The sequence below is a fragment of the Homo sapiens genome, chromosome 8, assembly GCF_000001405.40.
Source record: "Homo sapiens chromosome 8, GRCh38.p14 Primary Assembly".
NCBI lineage: Eukaryota > Metazoa > Chordata > Mammalia > Primates > Hominidae > Homo > Homo sapiens.
Genome location: NC_000008.11, coordinates 99,773,744 through 99,794,429, shown reverse-complemented (window position 1 = coordinate 99,794,429; position 20,686 = coordinate 99,773,744). Strand labels below are relative to the sequence as shown.

At 37.4% G+C, this 20,686-nt stretch overlaps 1 protein-coding gene across 2 annotated transcripts in view; it reads right to left on the bottom strand.

Moving 5' to 3' along the window:
* The window catches only part of VPS13B (vacuolar protein sorting 13 homolog B), an 864,307-nt gene that overhangs the window by 83,151 nt on the left and 760,470 nt on the right, over positions 1 to 20,686 (bottom strand). For both annotated transcript variants that reach the window (NM_152564.5, NM_017890.5), the window contains exons 41-43: positions 17,474 to 17,655; positions 15,399 to 15,748; positions 9,954 to 10,115 (exon numbers count right to left, since the gene is read on the bottom strand). In NM_152564.5, the coding sequence (NP_689777.3) occupies positions 9,954 to 10,115; positions 15,399 to 15,748; positions 17,474 to 17,655 (694 nt within the window). The remainder of the gene's footprint in view (positions 1 to 9,953; positions 10,116 to 15,398; positions 15,749 to 17,473; positions 17,656 to 20,686) is intronic.

Below are 20,686 nucleotides of genomic sequence, written 5' to 3'. Positions count from 1 at the left end.
GTGTGTCTTCTGTTTCCTACTTTTATACATGGAAATGTCTACTGTAGTTATCGTATGCCTATCGTATACCATTGTACATTGTTCTGCAGCAACAGATAATTCTTCTCTTAGCACTCTCTCCTTGGGAATGCTCACTTATTCCCACTTCTAGTTAGGCACCAATAACAGGCCAAATTTATATCTCCAGATCAGACTATTCTTTTGAGCTCCAGCCTCTTACATCGAATTTGCTTACTTTACATGTCCATTTGGATGTCTAGTTAGGGGAAAAGGACTAAAAAGGAACCCTTGGTTATAGAGAGCCAAGTTCTTTTTACTTTAAAGAATGTTTTGTTTAGACAGGGTCTTGCTATGTTGCCCCTGGCTAGTCTCAAATACCTGGCCTCAAGCTATCTTTCCTACCTTAGCCTCCCAAAGTTTTGGGATTATAGGTGTGAAGCACCACTGCACCCAGCCAAGCTGAGTCCTTTACTAGGAACTTTATAAATGTTTTACATGGAATATTTACAACAGTCTCTTAATTATGCAGAAGAGGAAGTTGAAGTGCCAAGAAATTAAGAAACTGTCCACTCTTCATGCAGCTATCAAACCTTAGGAGTGAAACTCAGGTATTTATGGCTTCAAATTTGTGCTTTTTCTAATATACCATCCTTCCTGCCCTCTATAGCAGCCTAAAATTCAATGTGTCCAAAATGGTTGTCACGATTACTCTGTTATGCTCTTACACCCTGCCCCATTCTCTGTCTCTCAAACATTGTCCTACTCAGCTCCCTGTCTTGGCCAATAGCAAAACTAGCAACACATCACCTAAGTCTGAAATCTCAGAGTCAAACCAGACTCTTCTCTTCCATGATCAATAATAAATCCTGGTGATTTTAACCTCCCAAATATCTTCCAAACAGACCTCTATCAAGTTAAACCTTCTCTCAGCAATTTAAAGATGTTGTTTCACTGTCTTCTAGCCTCCATAGTATCTAAAGAGAAGTCCATAGTAATTTGATTGTTGTTCTCCTAATGTGTGGTAGGTAATGCGTTGTTTTCCTCTGGCTGCTTTCAAAATTTTCTCTTTATCTTTGTTTTTCAGTAGTTTCATAATGATGTTCCTGGTATCTTCAAATTTACTTTTTTCTTCCATCATGTATTTTATATATATATATATATATATATATATATATGGAGAGGGCAAGACCCTGTCTCCAAATATATATATATATATAAATTTTTTGGCGACAGGGTCTTGCTCTGTTGCCCAGGCTGGAGTGCAGTGGCATGATCTCAGCTCTCTGCAAACTCTGCCTCAAAGGGTCAAGCAATCCTCCCACTTCAGCCTCCTGAGTAGGTGGGACTACAGGTGTGCACCACCATGCCTAATTTTTTTTTTTTTTTTTTAGAGACAGGATCTTGCCATATTGCCCAGGCTGCTCTTTAACACTTGGACTCAAGAGATCCACCCACCATGGCCTCCCAAAGTGCTAGGATTACAGGCGTGAACCACCATGCTTGGCCCATCTATTATGTTTTTATTGCTCTGTAACAAATTAGCACTAATTTAGCAGCTTAAAACAGCACACATTTACTCTCTCACAGTGACTGTTGGTCAAGAGTCCATGTATAGCTTAGCTGCGTTCTCTGTTTAGGGTTCATAAGACTCCAAATGAGCTGCAGTTGGCTGCATTCTGATCTGGAGGCTTGACTTGGTAAGACTCTACTCAAGCTTGCTTAAGTTGTTGGCAGAATTTATTTTCTTGTGGCTGTAAGACAAGGGCCTTAACTTCTTACTGCCTGGTGCTGGCAGCCATCTTCCGGTTCTGGAGGCCTCCCACAGCTCCCTGCCCCAGGACCCTCTTCATAGGCCATCAGAACATGACAGTTTGCTTCCCAAGGCCAGCAGGAGCCTCTATGCCTCTCTCTCCTTACAAAAGGGTCCGATCACTCTTTTAGGGTTTTTAATCTGATTAAATTAGGCCCACTCAAGATTTTCTCTCTTAACTAAAAATCAACTAATTTAGGACCTTAATTACATCTGTAAAATCCCTTCACCTTTGACACAGACACTTTAGAGTACATGTCCGATAATGCCAACATCTGGGTCATCTTTGGATTAGCATCTATTAATTGTCTTTCCCTGGAAATTGAGTTAACATTTTTTTTTCTGACTCTTATCTGTCAAGTAATTTTGGGTTATATTATGGACATTGTACATGTTTTGTTGTGGAGAATCTGGATTCTCTTATGACTGCTCCAAAGAGTGTTGATGTTTGTAGTTAACAGGCAACTAACTTGTTTAGACTCAAACTGGAAATTCTCATACCTGGGTGAGCAGCAGCTCAGGTTAGTTTACTTCTTTAAGCCTTGGGTACAAACTGCATTCAGTTTGCCCCATGCATGTGTGTGGTTCAGCAGTCAGCTGAACAGTTGGGCTACATTTAAAAATATTATGTTCCCATTTTATGGCTTTCTCCTCTCCAGGGTTTTCTCTTCACACTCTAGCAGCCTAGGATGCCTAGGCTATTTCCCCTGGTACCCTGGGCCAGAAAGATGATAGGCCACCCCTGTGCTGCCGTGACTGCAGTTGCCCTCAAGGCAAAGCCAAAAAAATGGGAAAGTCATCCTGCAAATTACTTGCTCAAAATTTTGACTCCCCTCCAAAATCTGCCTTTGTTTAGTCTCCAGAGCCTTCAGGTAGTTTTTTTTTTTTTTTTTTTTTTTAAGTTCTGTTCAGAATGTGTTGCTGTTATTCACAGAAATATCAGTTTCTTAGGCATTTATATCATTTAATGCCCTTACTCTGTCTTAGCTCAGTTACTATAATCTCTCTCACTCCTGCACTACGCAGCAGTGACCATAGTAGTCTCTGTTTGTATTCTCAATCTTCTCTAGACCGTCTTCTCAAATACATTAGTAGAACTTTTCTGAAATACATCTGTGATCCTGGCATTCCTCTACTTAAACTCATTCAGTAGCCAAGAGCTGCCCATCACATAGATGTATATCTTCTTGAAATGGATTCCCAGGCTCTTGAGAACACAACTCTGCCAGACAGTGGTGTGCTGGAGCTGGCTCATACTTGTTTGTGAAAACCAGCAATTAAGTGTTTAGAGATTTTGCAAACTGGTGGTCAACCCATTGGTAGCCTGAAATAAGCTTTGGAGTATTTACACCATGAAAGTTGGCCATCCCTACAATCAGGGGTTCCCCACCACTACCACTCTAAGAGCCAGTGGACCAGCACATATCTCTTCTGCAATTTTTATGATTGAGTTACACTGCACAAAACCTGAAATCCCTTGACCATAACTTGCTGTTTATATATACCTCCCTTGTTCTTCTTGGTGTACTCCTCCACTGTCATCCGCTGGGCCAACCTATACTTACTGTTCAAACTTAGCTTCTGTGGAAAGCTAACTTTGATCTCTCTGGGTACGTAGATTATCACACCTTTGTGCTATCATGGCCTCAAGACGGTATTAAAACTTCTTAGCACAGCATACAGGAGCCCTCATGGCCTTAGCCTACTTCCCCCTCTTGCAGCTCCACACATGTACTCTACACTGTAGCCAAATTAGTCAAGTTATCCTTCTGTGCCATATTGTTTCATGTCTCTGTGGCTTTCACACATGTTGGTCCTCTTAGCTGGAATATCGCCTCCACCCTCACTTCACTGGCCTAGCTAACTCCAAGGCATTAACGTGTAATACAAATATCCCTTCTGTCTGGAAGCCTTGCCAGCTTCCCATCCTCATGTTGGATTTGGAAACATTTCCTTTGGGTTCCCATTAAGACTTTGTTCATATCCAGATGCAATTGATTTTACTTCCTGATTCCCTGGCATTTCTTCCCTATGGCTAGTGTTTTCATTATTCACCCCTCATTTCTCTCTGTCCTGAACTACTGCAATGATATCCTGATAGACTGATAGACAATGTCATGTCTATAATAATTTTTTACTTTTCTGGGTCCCTCAATAGACAGTAAGTTCCTTAGAAGAATGTATATATTTAAACGCAATAAGTAATACATGAAAATATACTGATTAAAAAAATGAATGTGAGGGAGACTAAATAAACAGCTACAGAGAAATAATGGCAGGAGGGCCTGTGAAAAGACTGAGTTAGCCCTTGGAGGTCAGATAATTTGGATATTATTTAATAAATCATGGTGTAGCATGTGATGGTTTCTGGACAGGAAAGTGTAACAATCAAAGTATTTAGGAAAATTGCTTGAGCTGTAGTCTGAGAGATAAATCAGAGTTAAAACAGGGCAAAACTGTTAACTAAGAGAACAATTGAGAAAAACTATTGCAATAGTTTGTATAAGAAGTAATAAAGATAATCACTCTTGATATATCATTACACTTGGTGCTGTTCCTAAGAATTAATATTTGAAGTTCCTTTTAGTCTGTATGTGAGTTTTGGGTGTGTGTGTGGGGGTGCTTAATGTCTCAAATTTAATTTCTTTCTCCTTAATAAGAAGTTGAAAAGTACATAAAAATGTGACAAAAATAGAATAATATCACCTTACCCAAAATTCAGAGGCAACCACTGATAACATTTTGACATGTCTTTTTCCAGTATGTTTTGTGCATTTGCTTGTGTGTTGTTATGATCACATTGTATACATAGAATTTCATATTCTGCTTTTCTGACTTATATGATATGATATGATAGGTAGGACTTCCTCCATTCCATGTAAAAATGTAAAGATCCCATAAAATATCTATAAGATAGTCTTATGCCAGATTTTACTTAACTCCTTAAAAGTGAACATTTTGGTGCTTTAAATATTTTGTGACAAACTGTGATTAACTTTTATGGTATAAAAATCTTTGTTTTAATTTGCCTTCTCTCCAGTGGGTAGATTACTACTGGGAGACTTACTGGGTCAAAATCTACAATAATTTTAATAGCTTTGAAGTTTCTTACCCAATTGCTTTCTAGAAATAAAGTACCAATTCCATTAGCAACTCCAGTGTGTAATAGTGTCTATTCATTTGCCCTTTCTAAACAAACTTTAACATGCATGCACACATAGGAGAACACTTGAAAAATTTATCAGCTTTGGCAACACAGAGTATTTCTTTGTCCCCCAAGTCGGCTTTTTAAGTTTTTAAATTGTTACTGTGGCAACAAGAAATATGCTCTTTCTCTAAATATATATGTATACATGCATTATATAAACGGATTTGTAAAGCATAGTAACTAAGAATTACAGTCTAGTTAATGAAATTGACAACTGGCTGGAATTACTAAAAGATAGGCAGATACTCAAAACCTGTTGCTTTCCGTTTTAGACAAATGAAAAAATTACCAGGTCTCGTTTTAAAATATTGTTACATACAAAACAAAAATTGGAGAACTTTCTGTTATGTACTGATTAGGACCAGAATGAGTATAATAAAAATATTTTCTGTAATTTGGTGAGTACAGGTTAATTACATAGAAGTTAGATTTTAACTATTATCTGTCATTTCTCAATTTCTGGAACTTTGTACCAAGCTTTCAAATGATAGGAATACCAGTGAGGTCAGAGTGAAAACAATTTTAAATCAAACCTTTAGTCTACTGAATTTGATCAACTGAGAAGTCTTAAAGCAAGTGTTGGCAAACTTAGGCTTATAGGCCAAATTTGGCATGTAGCCTATTTTTGGATAGCCTGTGAGCAGAGAATGGTTTTTACATTTTTAAATGGATGGAAAAAATCAAAAGAATAGTAATTGTGATGTTTGAAAATTATATGAAATTTAAATGTTATTGCCCATAAATACAGTTTCATTGGCACACAGCCACACTCATTCGTTTACATATCACCTATGGCTGATTTTACACAGAGTTGAGTAGCTGCAACAAACTGTAAATCCTGAAAGCTTAAAATATTTACTATCTGGCCCTTTACAGGAAAAGTTTGCCACCTCTGCTTTAAAGTAATATAGGATTTATATTTTTGTCACTATGTGTCACTCTGTTTAATGAATATTTCCAAGATGCTCTGCTGCTCATCAAAATTAATTTTACCTTGTTACATTTTGCTTTTTTTTTTTTTTTTTTTTAAGATGGGGTCTCATTATATTGCCCAGGCTGGTCTTGAACTCCTGGGCTCAAGTAATCCTCCTGCCTCAGCCTCCCAAGTAGCTAGAACTACAGGTATGTGCCACCACACATACTTTTTAAATTTTTTTGTGGAGATTTTTAAATTTTTAAATTTAATTTTTAGATTTTTAAATTTTTAAGTTTTTTTATAGAGATTGGGTCTTGTTATGTTGCCCAGGCTGGTCTTGAGAAGTTCTGGCCTCAAGTAATCCTCCTGCCTCAGCCTCCCAAAGTGTTAGGATTTCAGGCATAAACCACTATGCCTGACCTGTAGTTTTAAATATTTGCTATTTTTTCATAAGCTTATGAAACTTCCGTTATATTCATTTTGGATAAATGTTTTATTATTTTCCATAGCTCTGTCTAGAGCCTATTTCCACTTGCTTGATGGTTTGATTACCACAATTAAGTCATTGGTAACTAGAATTCTGTAATTCTGAAAAAAATGCATAACCCATAAATTATACATGTTTGAGGCTAAAAGCAAGTGTAAATCCTTACATACAAGATAAAGGCAATACTATTCCAAGCAGTTTAACCAACAGTGCTCTCTATTAACTAGAAAAGGAAGTTAAACAGCCTCTATATAAATCCTACCAGTTGGTGGAGATGTCACTATAGCTGGTTTGTCTAAATTAAACAAAGCCTCCCTTGACTATGAACTGCATATACTGCCTATATTTTGGGGAAACATTCTATAAACTCACACTTCTGGTCCCTAGATTCAACGTAGCATAATGTGACATACTTCTTTGAAGACCAGTCCCTTGCTGGTTATTGTTCTCATCCAACCTGATCTAAAGTCTACTGAATTGGAATATTTAAGAGCCCTTTGTGATGGCATCTATGATTCTGTGCAGCTGAATATATTCAATTATTCCCTAGGAAATAGTTTTCTTCTTCCTTTGTTTGTTTAGGCAAGAAACTGTTGTGAGATATCCAGAATGTTAAGTGATTCTGCCCCAGAGCATGTGTTAGAAACTATAAGGAGCATTTTATGACTTTCAATTCTAAAAGGTTTGTCAGCTTTGGATTTCTAGAATTGGTTGTGTCCATGTTTCTCTTCATCCTATTGGGACTTACTGTTGTTAGCAACCTCTTGTGTGGTTTTAAGATATCTTGACCTCTTTGAAACCTTTCCAGGTGTCACTGCCACTTTCTTGATCTCTGCAATGTTAGCTACATTGTTTAGTGGAGTTAAGTTCCGTGAACTTTAGAAATCCTCCCTGAGACTATGAATTGACTAACACCCAAGGTAGCATAAACATGCAGACACAAATGTTCCTAAAACAAAGCTTGCTGGGCAATGCAGGATATGACTTGGAGTCTGGAAAAAGGAATATTTTGCTCAATTGTGCATCTATGACAAGCTCCAGGTGCAGTTTGAAACTGAGTGGCTAGTTTTTCTGATCCTCATGTAGCCTCTCATTAGAACACAGCAGAATTTTCAACTGTGAATGTAATGAATGTAAGGAATCCCATGAAGACCCTCTGGGCCCATTAAGGCTTCTGGCTTCAGAGGGTCCTAAAACCCACTTACATTAGCATACAGAAATATAGTAAGAAGACGTCGTTTTTTATAAATATTATCTAGGTTATCTAGGTTTTAGTCTTAAGAAGATTATAATGACTGCAGCTTATTTTAAAAGTTGCATCCACAAGATGCAGTTACAAATTTAAAAGAAAAAACAAAGTTTATTAGATACCTGTTTTATGTTTAGAGTTTGTGATTAAGAAGCTCCTATTATTTTTGGTAACACAGTTAAGACTTTGCAAGGGTTCATACTTGGACTAAGAATCCCCTATTAGTTTAGCCTTAGATGTGGCCTACTATTCCAGTGATTTCTCAGCCCTTCTTTTCAAACTTCAAAGCTTGGCTATTCTAACAGACAAATCATGCTGCCAAAACCTAGGGGAGTGAGACAACATTGAAGTGACACTGTATTGAGAATTAAAAGATAAGGAATTCAGTCCTAATTCTGCCACTACCTAACTTAACATTTCTATTTGTCTCCTTATCTATAAAATATGCATAACAAATAATACTGCACAGGAATGCTGTGAATATAAAACTTGTAATAAATACAAAAAGGCCTTGAAATAGTGCAAATGAGTATGAAAATGAAAGGTGTGCTGGTGACAGTGGTTGTCTATTCATTCTTTCCTGCTGACCTCCTCTCCACCCAGAAACTGTATGTCTATAGCATGAAGACTACTGCTCCCCACACTCCTGAGCCAGTTGTTCTCTTATGATCACCCTTCCCATCCTGGCTCCAGTGTCCAGAGAATCCTGAGGGTCTCTGAGGGATATGCAAGCTATGCATCTTCAAATGACTGGAGAGTTAAGCTTCCTCTGCTTTGCTTTCTACCGGCTAAGGCCTGGAGCTTGCTGTGTGTGCATCGGTAAAGTGGCTACAGGTACAGTGTACAATTACATGTTACTGCAGCTTCTCAGAGGCTTCTTTCCTGTCCCACATAATTCATTGCTGGGAATGCAATGACAATGGAAACTTAGAAGATCTAATAGGTTATACAGGAAGTGTTAACATGAGTTCTCTCTAGGTGGTTGGAATTATAGGTGTTTTTTGTTTGGTTTTGTCAGTATACCTGTATGCTCTCACTTTTGTAGTCCATAGGAAAAAAAATTAAACATAGATGAATTTGAAACAAATAAAACATCCTTTATGTTACACGAGGAAAACAACTTAAATACTTCTAACATGGACATTTCTAAAGAGGAAAATTAGAAAACAAGGGTATGTGATTTACCCTAAAAATATGAATGCAATACCATATCATGTGAAAAAATTTTTATGAAAAACAGACATGTATTTCAGTGTCCTGTCAGATTAATGTGAACTAAATATATTTAAATAAGAAATACTGCATTATATTTACTTTTCCAAATTGTATACCAATAGTGTGGCAATCTGATGAAAAAACAAGAAATCAGCATCTAGCTACCCTCAGATGGAGCCCAAGGGGTATAATGTATTCTGATGCTGGTCTAGAGACCAGATGGGAAAACTTGTTCTCTAATCTAATGACTTTCTTTTAATCACAAGCAGGCAGTAGTTTTCTTATTACCCAGAGTTTAACAAATACATTATTCTCGAGAGTACTTCCTAGGATTTCTTTTGCTCACTTAAGACTACATCTTTGTATTTAATTCATCTTCATATTATCGCTACAGGACACATATCTCTAATTATTCCCATCTAAAGGGACAGGAAAATGAAATTACACTACTTGGAAAACAGACATCCTTTGGTGTGTCTTTTCTCAGTGCTCCCTTGGACATAGTTTTTCACTGTCATTGTATCACAGATTGTGAGCTGTCCTCAGAGGGCAAGGCCTGTGACTTACCTGTCTTTGAATTCCCAGTGCCTAGCATGTGCCTGCTACCAAGGACACACACAGAAAAAAAATCTGAAGAAACAAATGAATAATAATACCGAACACAATGCTTATGTATTAATGCCTTATACATATGAATTCACTTAGTCCTTATAACCCTATGAAATAAGTACTACTTTTATCCCATTTTACATATGAGAAAACTGAAGAACAGAAAGTAGAGCAAGGTTACACACAGCTAGGATCCAAACCTGGCTCTCGAGTCAGCCTCTTCATCACCACACCCTGCTGCCCCCGCCCCAAGCACCAGTGCTAAACAGGAAAATGCTCCATTCCAAGAGAAGCGTGTGCTCCCATCTCTAAACACTCTTGGGTTTCCGTCAGATGTAGCTACGCTGTGTGGTTCCTTCGGAGACTTAAAAAGGGAAATAACTGGACAGGCACACAAGTGCAGAAGAAATGAATCCCCAACCTTAACAATGGCTGTTTGTAAGGGTGTTTCTCAAATACCTGTGGGGATTTGTGAGAGCGCCAGCTGTACTGGTGACTGTGGAGACTCGCCAGCAGAATATTTTCATCAGTATCCACCTGGCCAAACCGCAGTGTCTCCTGTGTGTCATTACAGATCACAAAATGGCTGAAGACCAACTCCTCTACCTCAGGGCATTTGTTCTGAAAGAAAAAGGATACGAAAGCCAACATGGATCGGATTAATTGTAAGATGTTTGGCAGCTGTCTGCCCAGTGGCGATTGTTACAACACAGAAACCCTAAAAGATCTGTTGTCATTAGCTCTGGTATACAAAGTATTCTATACTGCCAGGATAAGCACACACATAAAAAATACCTTTAAGAGATTTTAAATGTTCCAAGAATGTGTTTTGATTTATACTCCCTCAAAATAAATCATACACGCTGAAGAGTAAAAGAACAATGAGATCCCTCAAACTTTTAACATTTCTTAAAGTGAATTAACATGCTACAAACAGTGCTGTACTGGGTAGTGCACGTTTTTGAGCAGAGTACTGGAGGCTAGAATTACCATGTTCCCAGCTTCTAAACTCAACAATCAAGACCAATTACCAAAGCCACAGTTTGTACCCTACAGAAAGTAAGAATCATTTAGGTAAAACATCCCCAGATCCCTTAAGAGGGAGGGTGGATATGTGTGTGTGTGTGTAAATCTGCTCAGTGAGAGATGTAAATAAAACCATAACTTTCCCTCTATTGTTAAGAGGCTGAACATACAAAACAGATCAACTCCAGAGTCAGTGTAAGCCAAGTTGCAGTTTTCTTGAGAAATAATGTTAGTTGAAACAGTTTTCAGTATTTGTTTCAGCTAAGTCATCAGTCAGCTAAAATCCTTCATTAGTCAGCTAAAGCGCAGCAAATTAATAATACGTTCCTTTGTTGATAACTCCTTTCTCATTTAATGGTGCCTCCATTGGTTGCTGTTACATTAAAACACTGGCAAAGTAATAAAGTATTTCCTTGCTTACTCTTTTATCACTCTGGTTAGGCTATGGCTTAAAAAGAATAAACATACTTTTGGTAAACTAAAAGAATGCTAAATAAATGATTAACTTGAGAATATAAGAAAAACATCATAAGTAGCTAATTAATTTGCAGATAATGGGAGATAACATGTAACTGATGCTTCTCCAGTTGGCCTCTATTTCCTGGCTATGGATCTAAATAATGTCAAAATGTCACACTCCATCATTTGCCACTTTACTGAGAAGTGGGGGAGTAAACAGAGATACAACTCAGAAGCATTGTGATTCAAGTACGGAGGAGGCATGAAGCCAAGGAGACTACAGATGAATGTACTTGGAATCCAGCCTGGGCCATGACCAGACTTGTACCCATTAGGGTACAGACTCATCTTGGGAAACAGAATCTACTCCTAATCATCCAGAATGCCCTTGAAGTAGGTGGGCAGGCTCTATGCTGCAGGTGGTGAAGTGGCCCTGACATACCTTATTCTTCCAGAGGCCCTTGAGGACTTCTAAGCCCTCTCACATCATCCATCTATTCCCATTGAACCGAACCTTGCTTCATAGTCACACTAATCGCCAAAAGAGTTTCTGGCTAAGTGAGACCAAAGTACTCATAACAACAAGCATCTGTCATCTACCATAATACTCTCTACTATGGATTTTAATTGGTAGCAATGATTTCAAAACTTGACTGCTGTTGAGTTTTAGATGAATCATCTTACCCAGCCCCTGCCCATGCCTCCAACTGCATCTTGAGCTACTCTCCATTTGCTGAGGGCATTTGCTCAGGACACTCCAGCTCCACTAGCCTTTTCCAGCTCCTCCAGCACTACGCTGACCTCCTTCCAACTCATCCAACACATCAAACTACTTCCTGCCTCAGAGCCTTCCCTCTGCTTGGACATCTTTTTCTCCATTTCTTGCTTGACCAACTTGTTTCTACTCAACTTCCAGATTCCTGTTTTAAGGTTGGTTTTAAGAGCAGCCTTCTGAGATCCTCCCAAGGTCAAGGTAGGTTCTCCTATTTTACGCTTACATAAGATTCTATATTTCACCTTCAGAGCACTTGTTAATTTGTACCATTATGGGTTCAATATTGTCTCCATAATTAGACTGTATGCTGCAGAAGGGCAGCAACCACGTCTTTACAGTTTTTATTCTTTACAGTTTTATCTTCAGTATCCAGCATAATGCCTAGCCGATAAATACTTAGGAAATAAACAAACGAAAACTTTGGTAGATTTAATTTGTAAAATTATAATTATATATTCACTGTACAAAGTTAGAAAATACAGGGGAGAAGAAGGGGAGGGAAAAATTAGGAAATACAGGAAGTATGGATTTTTAAAAATCTTTAATTTTAAACTCAGCAATAACTACTATTAACATTTTGGTGAATTTTCTTCAAATAGTTTTTCCCTTCTGAATGTCCTGCCTGTTACTATTCTAGTCTGTCCTATCCAATCCTTTTTTATATATTTATCTACAAACCTTCAATCAAACTGGAATCATAGTATGTAATTAGTTTTGATGAGATTTTTCCATTGAGCATTATATAATCAACATGAACTGCTCTACTTGTAAACATTTTTCTTTCCTTTCAGTGCGAGTACAGACATGAAGAAAGGGATATGATTCCAATCTCCCACTTAGTTACACATCCTGAGATTAAAATTCAGTTTTCATAATGAATTGGGATCAATCTGCTGGTAACACAGAGGTTAAGTTACCAGATGGGGCTTGAGCAGAAAAAAAACATCATATTACTTTCTTCATCTCTAAAAACTGACCTTTAATAAATGATGAGGGTTTTAGGAAAAAATGTAAATTAAAGAACACAAGGGGGTTGTTTACATTTTTCTAAAGAATATTCAAAGTCCTCAGGGAACTATTTCTCTACTGCTGCTTCATCTGTGGAGTTCATTATAACTGTAATAAGTTTAAGCATTTCTTGGAATGTTTTAAATTCTGTTGTAATATTAAAAAGTTCACATGTATTTGACGTCACATCATAGATGTTGAGCCTCAGAATGCTCACTTGGAATCATAATTAAAAGATGGCTTATCCACATTTAAGTTTCATGGAGTGTCATACAAGCATTTGCAGTTAAACAGATACACCATTTTGGTGTAAGAGAAGACACATAAGTGTAACCTTAATTTAAGAAAAAAACCCTTTTAATACTTTTTGTCCAAATCTGGGAAAGTGACATAGAAATATAAAACAAATTGCAAATGGCATTTTGGATCCTTAATCTGTTTTCACAAAACAGTCATCATTTATAAAAGGGAAAAGAAAATCTATAGCCAGAGAAATCAGACACTGATGAAGGCTTCTGTTAATCTTGAACTTATGACCTAAAGGTGGAAGGCCAAATTGTTTCATGCTTCAACTGTCTGGTCCATCCACACTGGGGAAAAATGACTTGTCTCCAATATGAATCCGATAAAAGGTATGTGGAGAACTAAAATCACTTTGCTTGCTTATTAAATTCATATTTTTCACTGGCAGCAATTACACTATATGTGAGCAGTATACACACAATAAAATCCAAGTTTGGGAAACTAAACTTCCGCTTCTAAAGGGGATAAACCACATTCAGAACATCTTAGAAACAATGAACTCAATAACCCTTTGTAAGCCCATTTCAATGTCAAATGTCCTATAATTTCAAAGTAGTGCACTTTCATATTTACTTTAGAATACACAGGGTTAGGTGCCTACCACATTAAAACTTGGTGGCAAGTACCCTTGACATGAGAGGAAACAAGAAAATTACAGCAACAATTACAGAAGTATATCCTCTTGTGGCTCATGTTAACGTTGCCAAATCCCTGTATAAATCAGAACCAACTATTCATAGAATGTACCTGTCAGCAATATGCTACGTGACATATGGCTCTACTTAATCAAATATACAATTCCATTAAAAAAACTCAGAATATTCCTTCAAGGCACTATGTTAGCCAGTCAGTCATTCACACTCTGATGTGGTTTAAAACATTTAAATATTTATGCACCATATTTTATTTATATGTATAGCTGTGTCTAAGAGAGTATTTTTACCCTGGGAGGAAACTGGTATTTCTGAAGGCCATTTTGCAGTAGTTGCTACACATGAGTCCCCTTATAATGGTTCTGATACCAAGACAAAAATATCCTGGGTTTAAATGTTCTATCAATGATTCTTTTATATTTTCTAGGTTTGTTTTTTATTAAATGTATTGTTCAAAATACAACCAAAAAACAGAAATTGGAGCCATAGAGGTCTTTTTTTTCACATGGCTATTTGAACCAGCTGCAAAGATTTAGATCACACTAGCTCTTATTTTACGCATGTCCTTTGCAACAAGAAAACCATGGAATGCCCTTAAAAAATATTTTTAAAACATAAAACAGATGTGTTATCTTCTTTCCCTTTGCTATTATAGTGCCATGTTAGGTAATTAATTCCTTGGTCTTGTATAGGTCTTCATGCATATAAAGAAAAATATTTATTCTCATACAAATTCTTAAGTTAGAGAACAAAAGCTCCTCTTCCCCTTAACTGCTCCATCCCAAAAGGAGGTCAGTGGGGGATGAAGCACCGTTTCTCTCGGGTAGCCAGCCTCACACAAATGTAATATATACAAAATGTGGGGAAATGTTTCAGCTTAAATAGCAACACAAACTTGATGGAAATACAATATAACACTAAAATCAGTAAGGGAAGCAGAAGTGATTTGTTCTTAAATCATTGAACATATTATCATCCAAATATTCTGTGAAGTTACTTTTGTGCTAGCAGACATGGACAGGTTTCCCATTTTAAATATGCCACTTATCATAGACTTACGCTTCATCCCTTTTTTTGGTTTGGTTTATTTCTGATAAGAAATAAAAGTTAAAAAATTATTAAAATAATCAAGGCTCTCTAATTGATTTAAAAATCCATTATCTAGTACTTTTTAGTGAATCAAAAAGTCAGAAAGAGTAGAGGAAAAAACTAAGACTGTATTGTACTCACATATTTCATCTCGCTGCTTTTTTTGTTTGTTTGTTTGAAAAGATCGAATGCTTATCATTAGAAAGGGTCACACAGGTTCTTTATTTCTGCAATGGACCGTTAGACAATTTGATACATAGCTAAGTTGAAGCTTTGGCAAACTAAAGCCACAATACTTGGAAAAAATTTCTGGGAATATGTTACTTTCCACACAGATGTGGTGCATTAGTCACAAAAATGTGGGCATGATCTCCAATGCATGTGTAGAGAACCTATATTCTCCAGTTTTTCAAAAATAACATGCATCACTTTGCCAAAACAGAGAAGGCCTCAAGTATAATGGTGCCCATCAAATTCTTCATTCTCTAACATTTTTGTTTGTGTTGAACTTATTATCAGAAGTGATAGCATACAGAACCTAATAAAAGATCATATGTGGCCAAACTGTAAACTGTTATGGAATGTGCATACCTGTTGCCAAGCTTGTATTGCAGTGTTTAGTGAATGGACTACATGCTGTCCAAGGTTTACAAATACAGAATCAACTATCACGGTGCAGTCAAGCAGCTTTTCCACTACATCGCTGGAAACTGCCATCTGCCCGAAGATGCTGAAGGGTTTCACCACACTTTGCATAGTGACATTTCTGCACTCTAGAAGTTTACAGTCTGCTTGAGCTAAGAACTGGATCTCCTGACAGACAGAACCATTATTCCACTGTCGAAGATACATGTGTGGTTCTCTGAAGGAAACAATCATGTATTCTAGTTCAGATGGCATATTTCTGTCGGAAACAAATGGCTGTAGGTACTGTGGTGCAGCTGTTGAGAAAACAAACAAGGAAAACAGCAATTAAGATGAGCCAATATTTTGTGAAAATAAAGAGTGAAATGACATTCAAACTATTCACTTTTTGATTATTGAAATTAGTTTTTGGTGTTTAATAAATTCAAATTATTTATTGAAGATATTATAATCTTTGGATTCCCATTTGATATTTGAAAACAAAACTGTTTTGTTCAATTAGGCCTCTTAAATATATATTGTCCAAAAGTAACTTTCACAAAAAATTGATCACAGAAGCCAATAAATAAACTGAAAAGCAGGTATCTATCTAAAGAGAATTTTATAGAACTGCTCTGTAGCTACCAATCAAATCTCAAAACCAAAACAAAAACATGACTCAAAGAGAGTTAGAGAAAGCAGGTTAAACTCCATTTTTGCTGAAAAGGCAAGATGCTTAACAACAGCTATTTTTTTTTTTTTTTTTTGAGATGGAGTCTTGTTCTGTCACCCAGGCTGGAGTGCAGTGGTGTGATCTTGGCTCACTGCAACCTCTGCCTCCTGGGTTCAAGCGATTCTCCTGCTTTAGCCTTCTGAGTAGCTGGGATTACAGGCACCTGCCACCACGCCCAGCTAATTTTTTTGTATTTTTAGTAGAGATGGGGTTTCACCGTGTTAGCCAGGATGGTCTCAATCTCCTGACATGGTGATCCACCCGCCTCGGCCTCCCAAAGTGTTGGGATTACAGGTGTGAGTCACTGTGCCCAGCCAGCTGTGTTTGGTTTTAATCTGATTTTCTCCTCTTCCCTTCATTACATGTAGGTCAAAAACCTAATATATGAGTCAAAATGTATCACCTAGAAAAGGTTTGGTACAGAGCATATTGAGAAATAATTGTTCAAATAACATTAGTAAGCTTATAAAAGGCCACTTTTGGTGTGTGGGAAAATTTAAACTTCCTTCCAAACTTGTAAAAATGATACCCCTTTAAATTAATTTGAGACTGTGCCTATCTTTTGTGGAAAGTATTCATGATTTTGAAATCAGGCAATACCAAGTATTTTTGGAATCTATTTGCTACTAATGTAATGACTCAGGATACTGAACAAGAACAGACATATTTCTTTCAAAGGGATCTGATATGGTTTGGTTGTGTCCCCACCCAAATCTCATCTTGAATTCCCACGTGTTGTGGGAGATAATCGAATCAGTGGGGCAGGTCTTTCCTGTACTGTTCTCGTGATAGTGAATAAGTCTCACGAGATCTGATGGTTATAAAAAAACGAGTTTCCCTGCACAAGCTCTCTTAGCCTGTTGCCTTCCATGTAAGACGTGACCTGCTCCTCCTTGCCTTCCACCATGATTGTGAGGTCTCCCCAGCCATGTGGAACTGTAAGTCCATTAAATCTCTTTTTCTTCCCAGTCTTGGGTATGTCTTTATCAGCAGCGTGAAAAATGAACTAATACAAGATCATAATTAGAATTACAGTAAAACTAACTTCCTTGAAAAATTCTCATTAGGTAGCATTCAAAAACATGTCAGCTCAATACCATTGACAACTTATATAATGGGTTCATAAGCTGGTTCAGAAGTAAAGGTTATGCCTGTTTTGCCAAGTCAACCCCAGGATAACTTTGCCACTGCTCGCTTTATACTTCCTGAAAATACATTATCTAAGATTGTTGACTTCTCTTTTGAAAACACTCAAGAGAAAATGGTAAGTATTAAATGGATGTTATTCTGATGCTAAAAAAAAGAGTACCTGTGCCTAGTTGGTCAAGGTGATGACAAAGATGGAATTCCAGGTGAGCAAACTGGAAAGAAACGCAAAGGGATGGGACAAACCATGGGGTAAAGCAGGAGTCAACTCTGGTACAGGCAGCCAGGGCTGTTGGAGTCACAAGTGGATCACAAGTGCTTTGAGAACCAGACTCACTTGCAGAGCTATGGGAAAGAAGTGATAAAAGAAGTTCAATAACCAAAATTTCCCAATATTATATGAGTGAAACGTCTTTTTATAAGGGTTTCTAAAACTAGTACTGAAAATCCTATAGTCAATATTTTATCAAATCTTCTGTATTTTCCTATGTAAATTAGCTATTTTTTAAAATTAAGCTCGTGTTTGGCCAGGTGCAGTGGCTCATGCTTGTTATCCTAGTACTTTGGGAGGCTGAGGCAGCAGGATCACTTCAGCTCAGGAGTTCGAGACCAGCCTGGGTAACATAGTGAGACCTCACCTCATCCAGAAAATTAGCTGGATGTGGTGGCATGCACCTGCAGTCTCAGCTACTTGGTGGTTGAGGTGGGAGAATTGCTTAAGCACAGCAGGTCAAGGCTGTCGTGCACTGCATTCCAGCCTGGAATCATGTTGATTATTCTCTATGAATTGTTCACAGAAAACTTTTAAAGGATTCCTCAAATGCCAACTCATACTGATCTATGATCATACTGATCTCCAAATCAATGTGCTTCCATCCACATCTCACAAAACTTACGGGCCATTTGTTCTGTTATTAGTTTAAGATCAATGCAGTTCAGAGTATGACTCTGCCACTCAAAAACCCAATACTTCAGTGTCACCATAAATATTTCACCCTTGTTTTACTTCTCCAGATTGTCCATACCCATATTTCCATAGGAGTCAGTCAATATTCTTTATTAAGCACTCACTCACTACTGTAACGGGTGCCATAAAAGTTATGACCATATCCAGAAGAATGAGGGTCCCATGGACAATTACAATGCATGGGTCCTCTCTTCACTTGCCCATCCTCTTAACACTATTTTATACAAGTTAAATCTTTTCTTTTTTTTTTGAGATGGAGTCTACTTTTGTTGTCCAGGCCAGGCTGGAGCAGCGTGGCACAACCTTGGCTCAATGCAATCTCTGCCTCCCAGGTTCAAGTGATTCTCCTGCCTCAGCCTCCCAAGTAGCTGGGATTACAGGCGCCAGCCACCATGCCCAGCTAATTTTTGTATTTTTAGTAGAGATGGGGTTTCAACATGTTGATCAGGCTGGTCTTGAACTCCTGACCCCAAGTGATCCACCCGCCTTGGCCTCCCAAAGTGCTGGGGTTACAGGCATGAGCCACCAATCCCAGCCTGTATGAGTTAAATCTGATTAAAGTGAATAGTGATGGCATCCATAGAAGGGAAGATGTCTGCACATGGTGGCTGCTGCTGTGCACGGGAAGCATGCTGCCTAGATTGCATTAATGCTAACAGGAGCACGAGACCTGGGAATTTGGGATTGTTGGAGGAGAACAAGGTGTGTCCTGTTAATTGTGGATCACCGAATCAATGTTGCCCTTTCCCCACAGCTCACTGTCTTCCACTCTCTTCTTTTCATCCTGAAATATGCTCTGTAGCTATCACAGCCTGGCTCCCAAATCCATGAGGAGCCTAAGGACAAGCAATGTCATTTACAGTATCCTAGGGAGAACTATGACAGGAAGCACTAAAGAAACAAATCCTTGATTTTCAAAGAACTCACAGTCTAACTGGTGATACTCAATACGTAGACATTTACAAAAATTACCAAACAGAACGACCCCCCAGGAATAGGAAAGTGGGAAGTGCTGCCAGGGTGGAAACACAAGAGGAACTTAATGGCATGGGTGAATCATGTGGGATTTTCAGAGGTGTGAATCTTCCATTGGGTTTTGAAAGAGGTTGTGAAACAGGCTGGTGAAAATGAAAGCTAGGAGCATTCCAGCATGTTTACTGAGTTGTTTAACCTCAAAGGGTTTTCAGTTATGTGGTGTAAGCATTTACTGCAATGCTAGTAAATCTCCATTGCAGACAAAGAAAACAGACTCTGGAGCACTAGGTTATTGACTATGCACAAAAATGCAGCTAAGTATATTCTTAAAACATCTATAATGGGCACAGTAATCCAAGTAACTTTCTAGGAATTTGTAGAGTTAACAAAAGATTTCATTGGCAAGATAAAATTAAAACTTGTATTTATTCAGAAAGAGGAAAATATATTAGTTGTACATGTGTTTTACACATTTGAACTCTTTCCCTTATACTACTCATGTAAGTTTTTAGAAATAGGGCACAATGTTAGTCAAAATATTATTAAAAATCCAGGCAAGAGTTCTATGGGACCAGTTTTTTAAAATGGGTACACAGTTTGAGCATTTTTCTGACCAATTATAGTTTTTGACACTCTGATATTTTCCAAGATTTATTTTTCTATCTCCTGAGAGTGGCAAATATTATAACATATTACAAAAGGTTGCTAAAACATCATGAGTATCTAATACAATCTTTACTTATAACAAATTGATTGATTCTTCACTTTTCCTAAATTGAATGCACAAAGCAATGGTTAGACATATTTTTAGGTATATACAGTAGCTCCTGAATCATAAAATCATACTCCAGTAAGCATTAGTGCTAGTAGCACTACTCTAGTCAGCAATACTCCTTCAATCTTGAAATCCCGACTAAAATGGTTACTAGGTTAATTTATATGCAAAAATTAAAACTTTTATTTAAAAATCGGAGTCAACAAAATCACACACTTCTTAAACACAAAATATAGTATATGTAATTTGAATACAACTTTATTTTACATTAGCACATTTATAGTTTTTGATATTCTTAACTTAAATCACCATTATATACTATAAAAGTAGCATGTATGTGTTTACCTTTTACCTAAGGATTAAAATGATCTAAGTACAATAGGACTAAATAGTCATAAATATGAGTGATGACCCTGCTAGAGACTTGCAGTAGCTACATTTGTATAATTTCCCTAATTAAGTACAACAGTGGATTTTAATCTGATTCACATCTTAAAAGGTCAAACATCAGATGTATAATAAGCAGAAAAAGAAAAGTAAAAAATATCACAACTTATAATATTTATATTTCAATATTTCCCCTTTTCCCAGAAGACTTTCAAAACAGGTCAAATTCATGGCCAATGACAGTGTTCACAGAATTATCTGGTGCTCTTCAC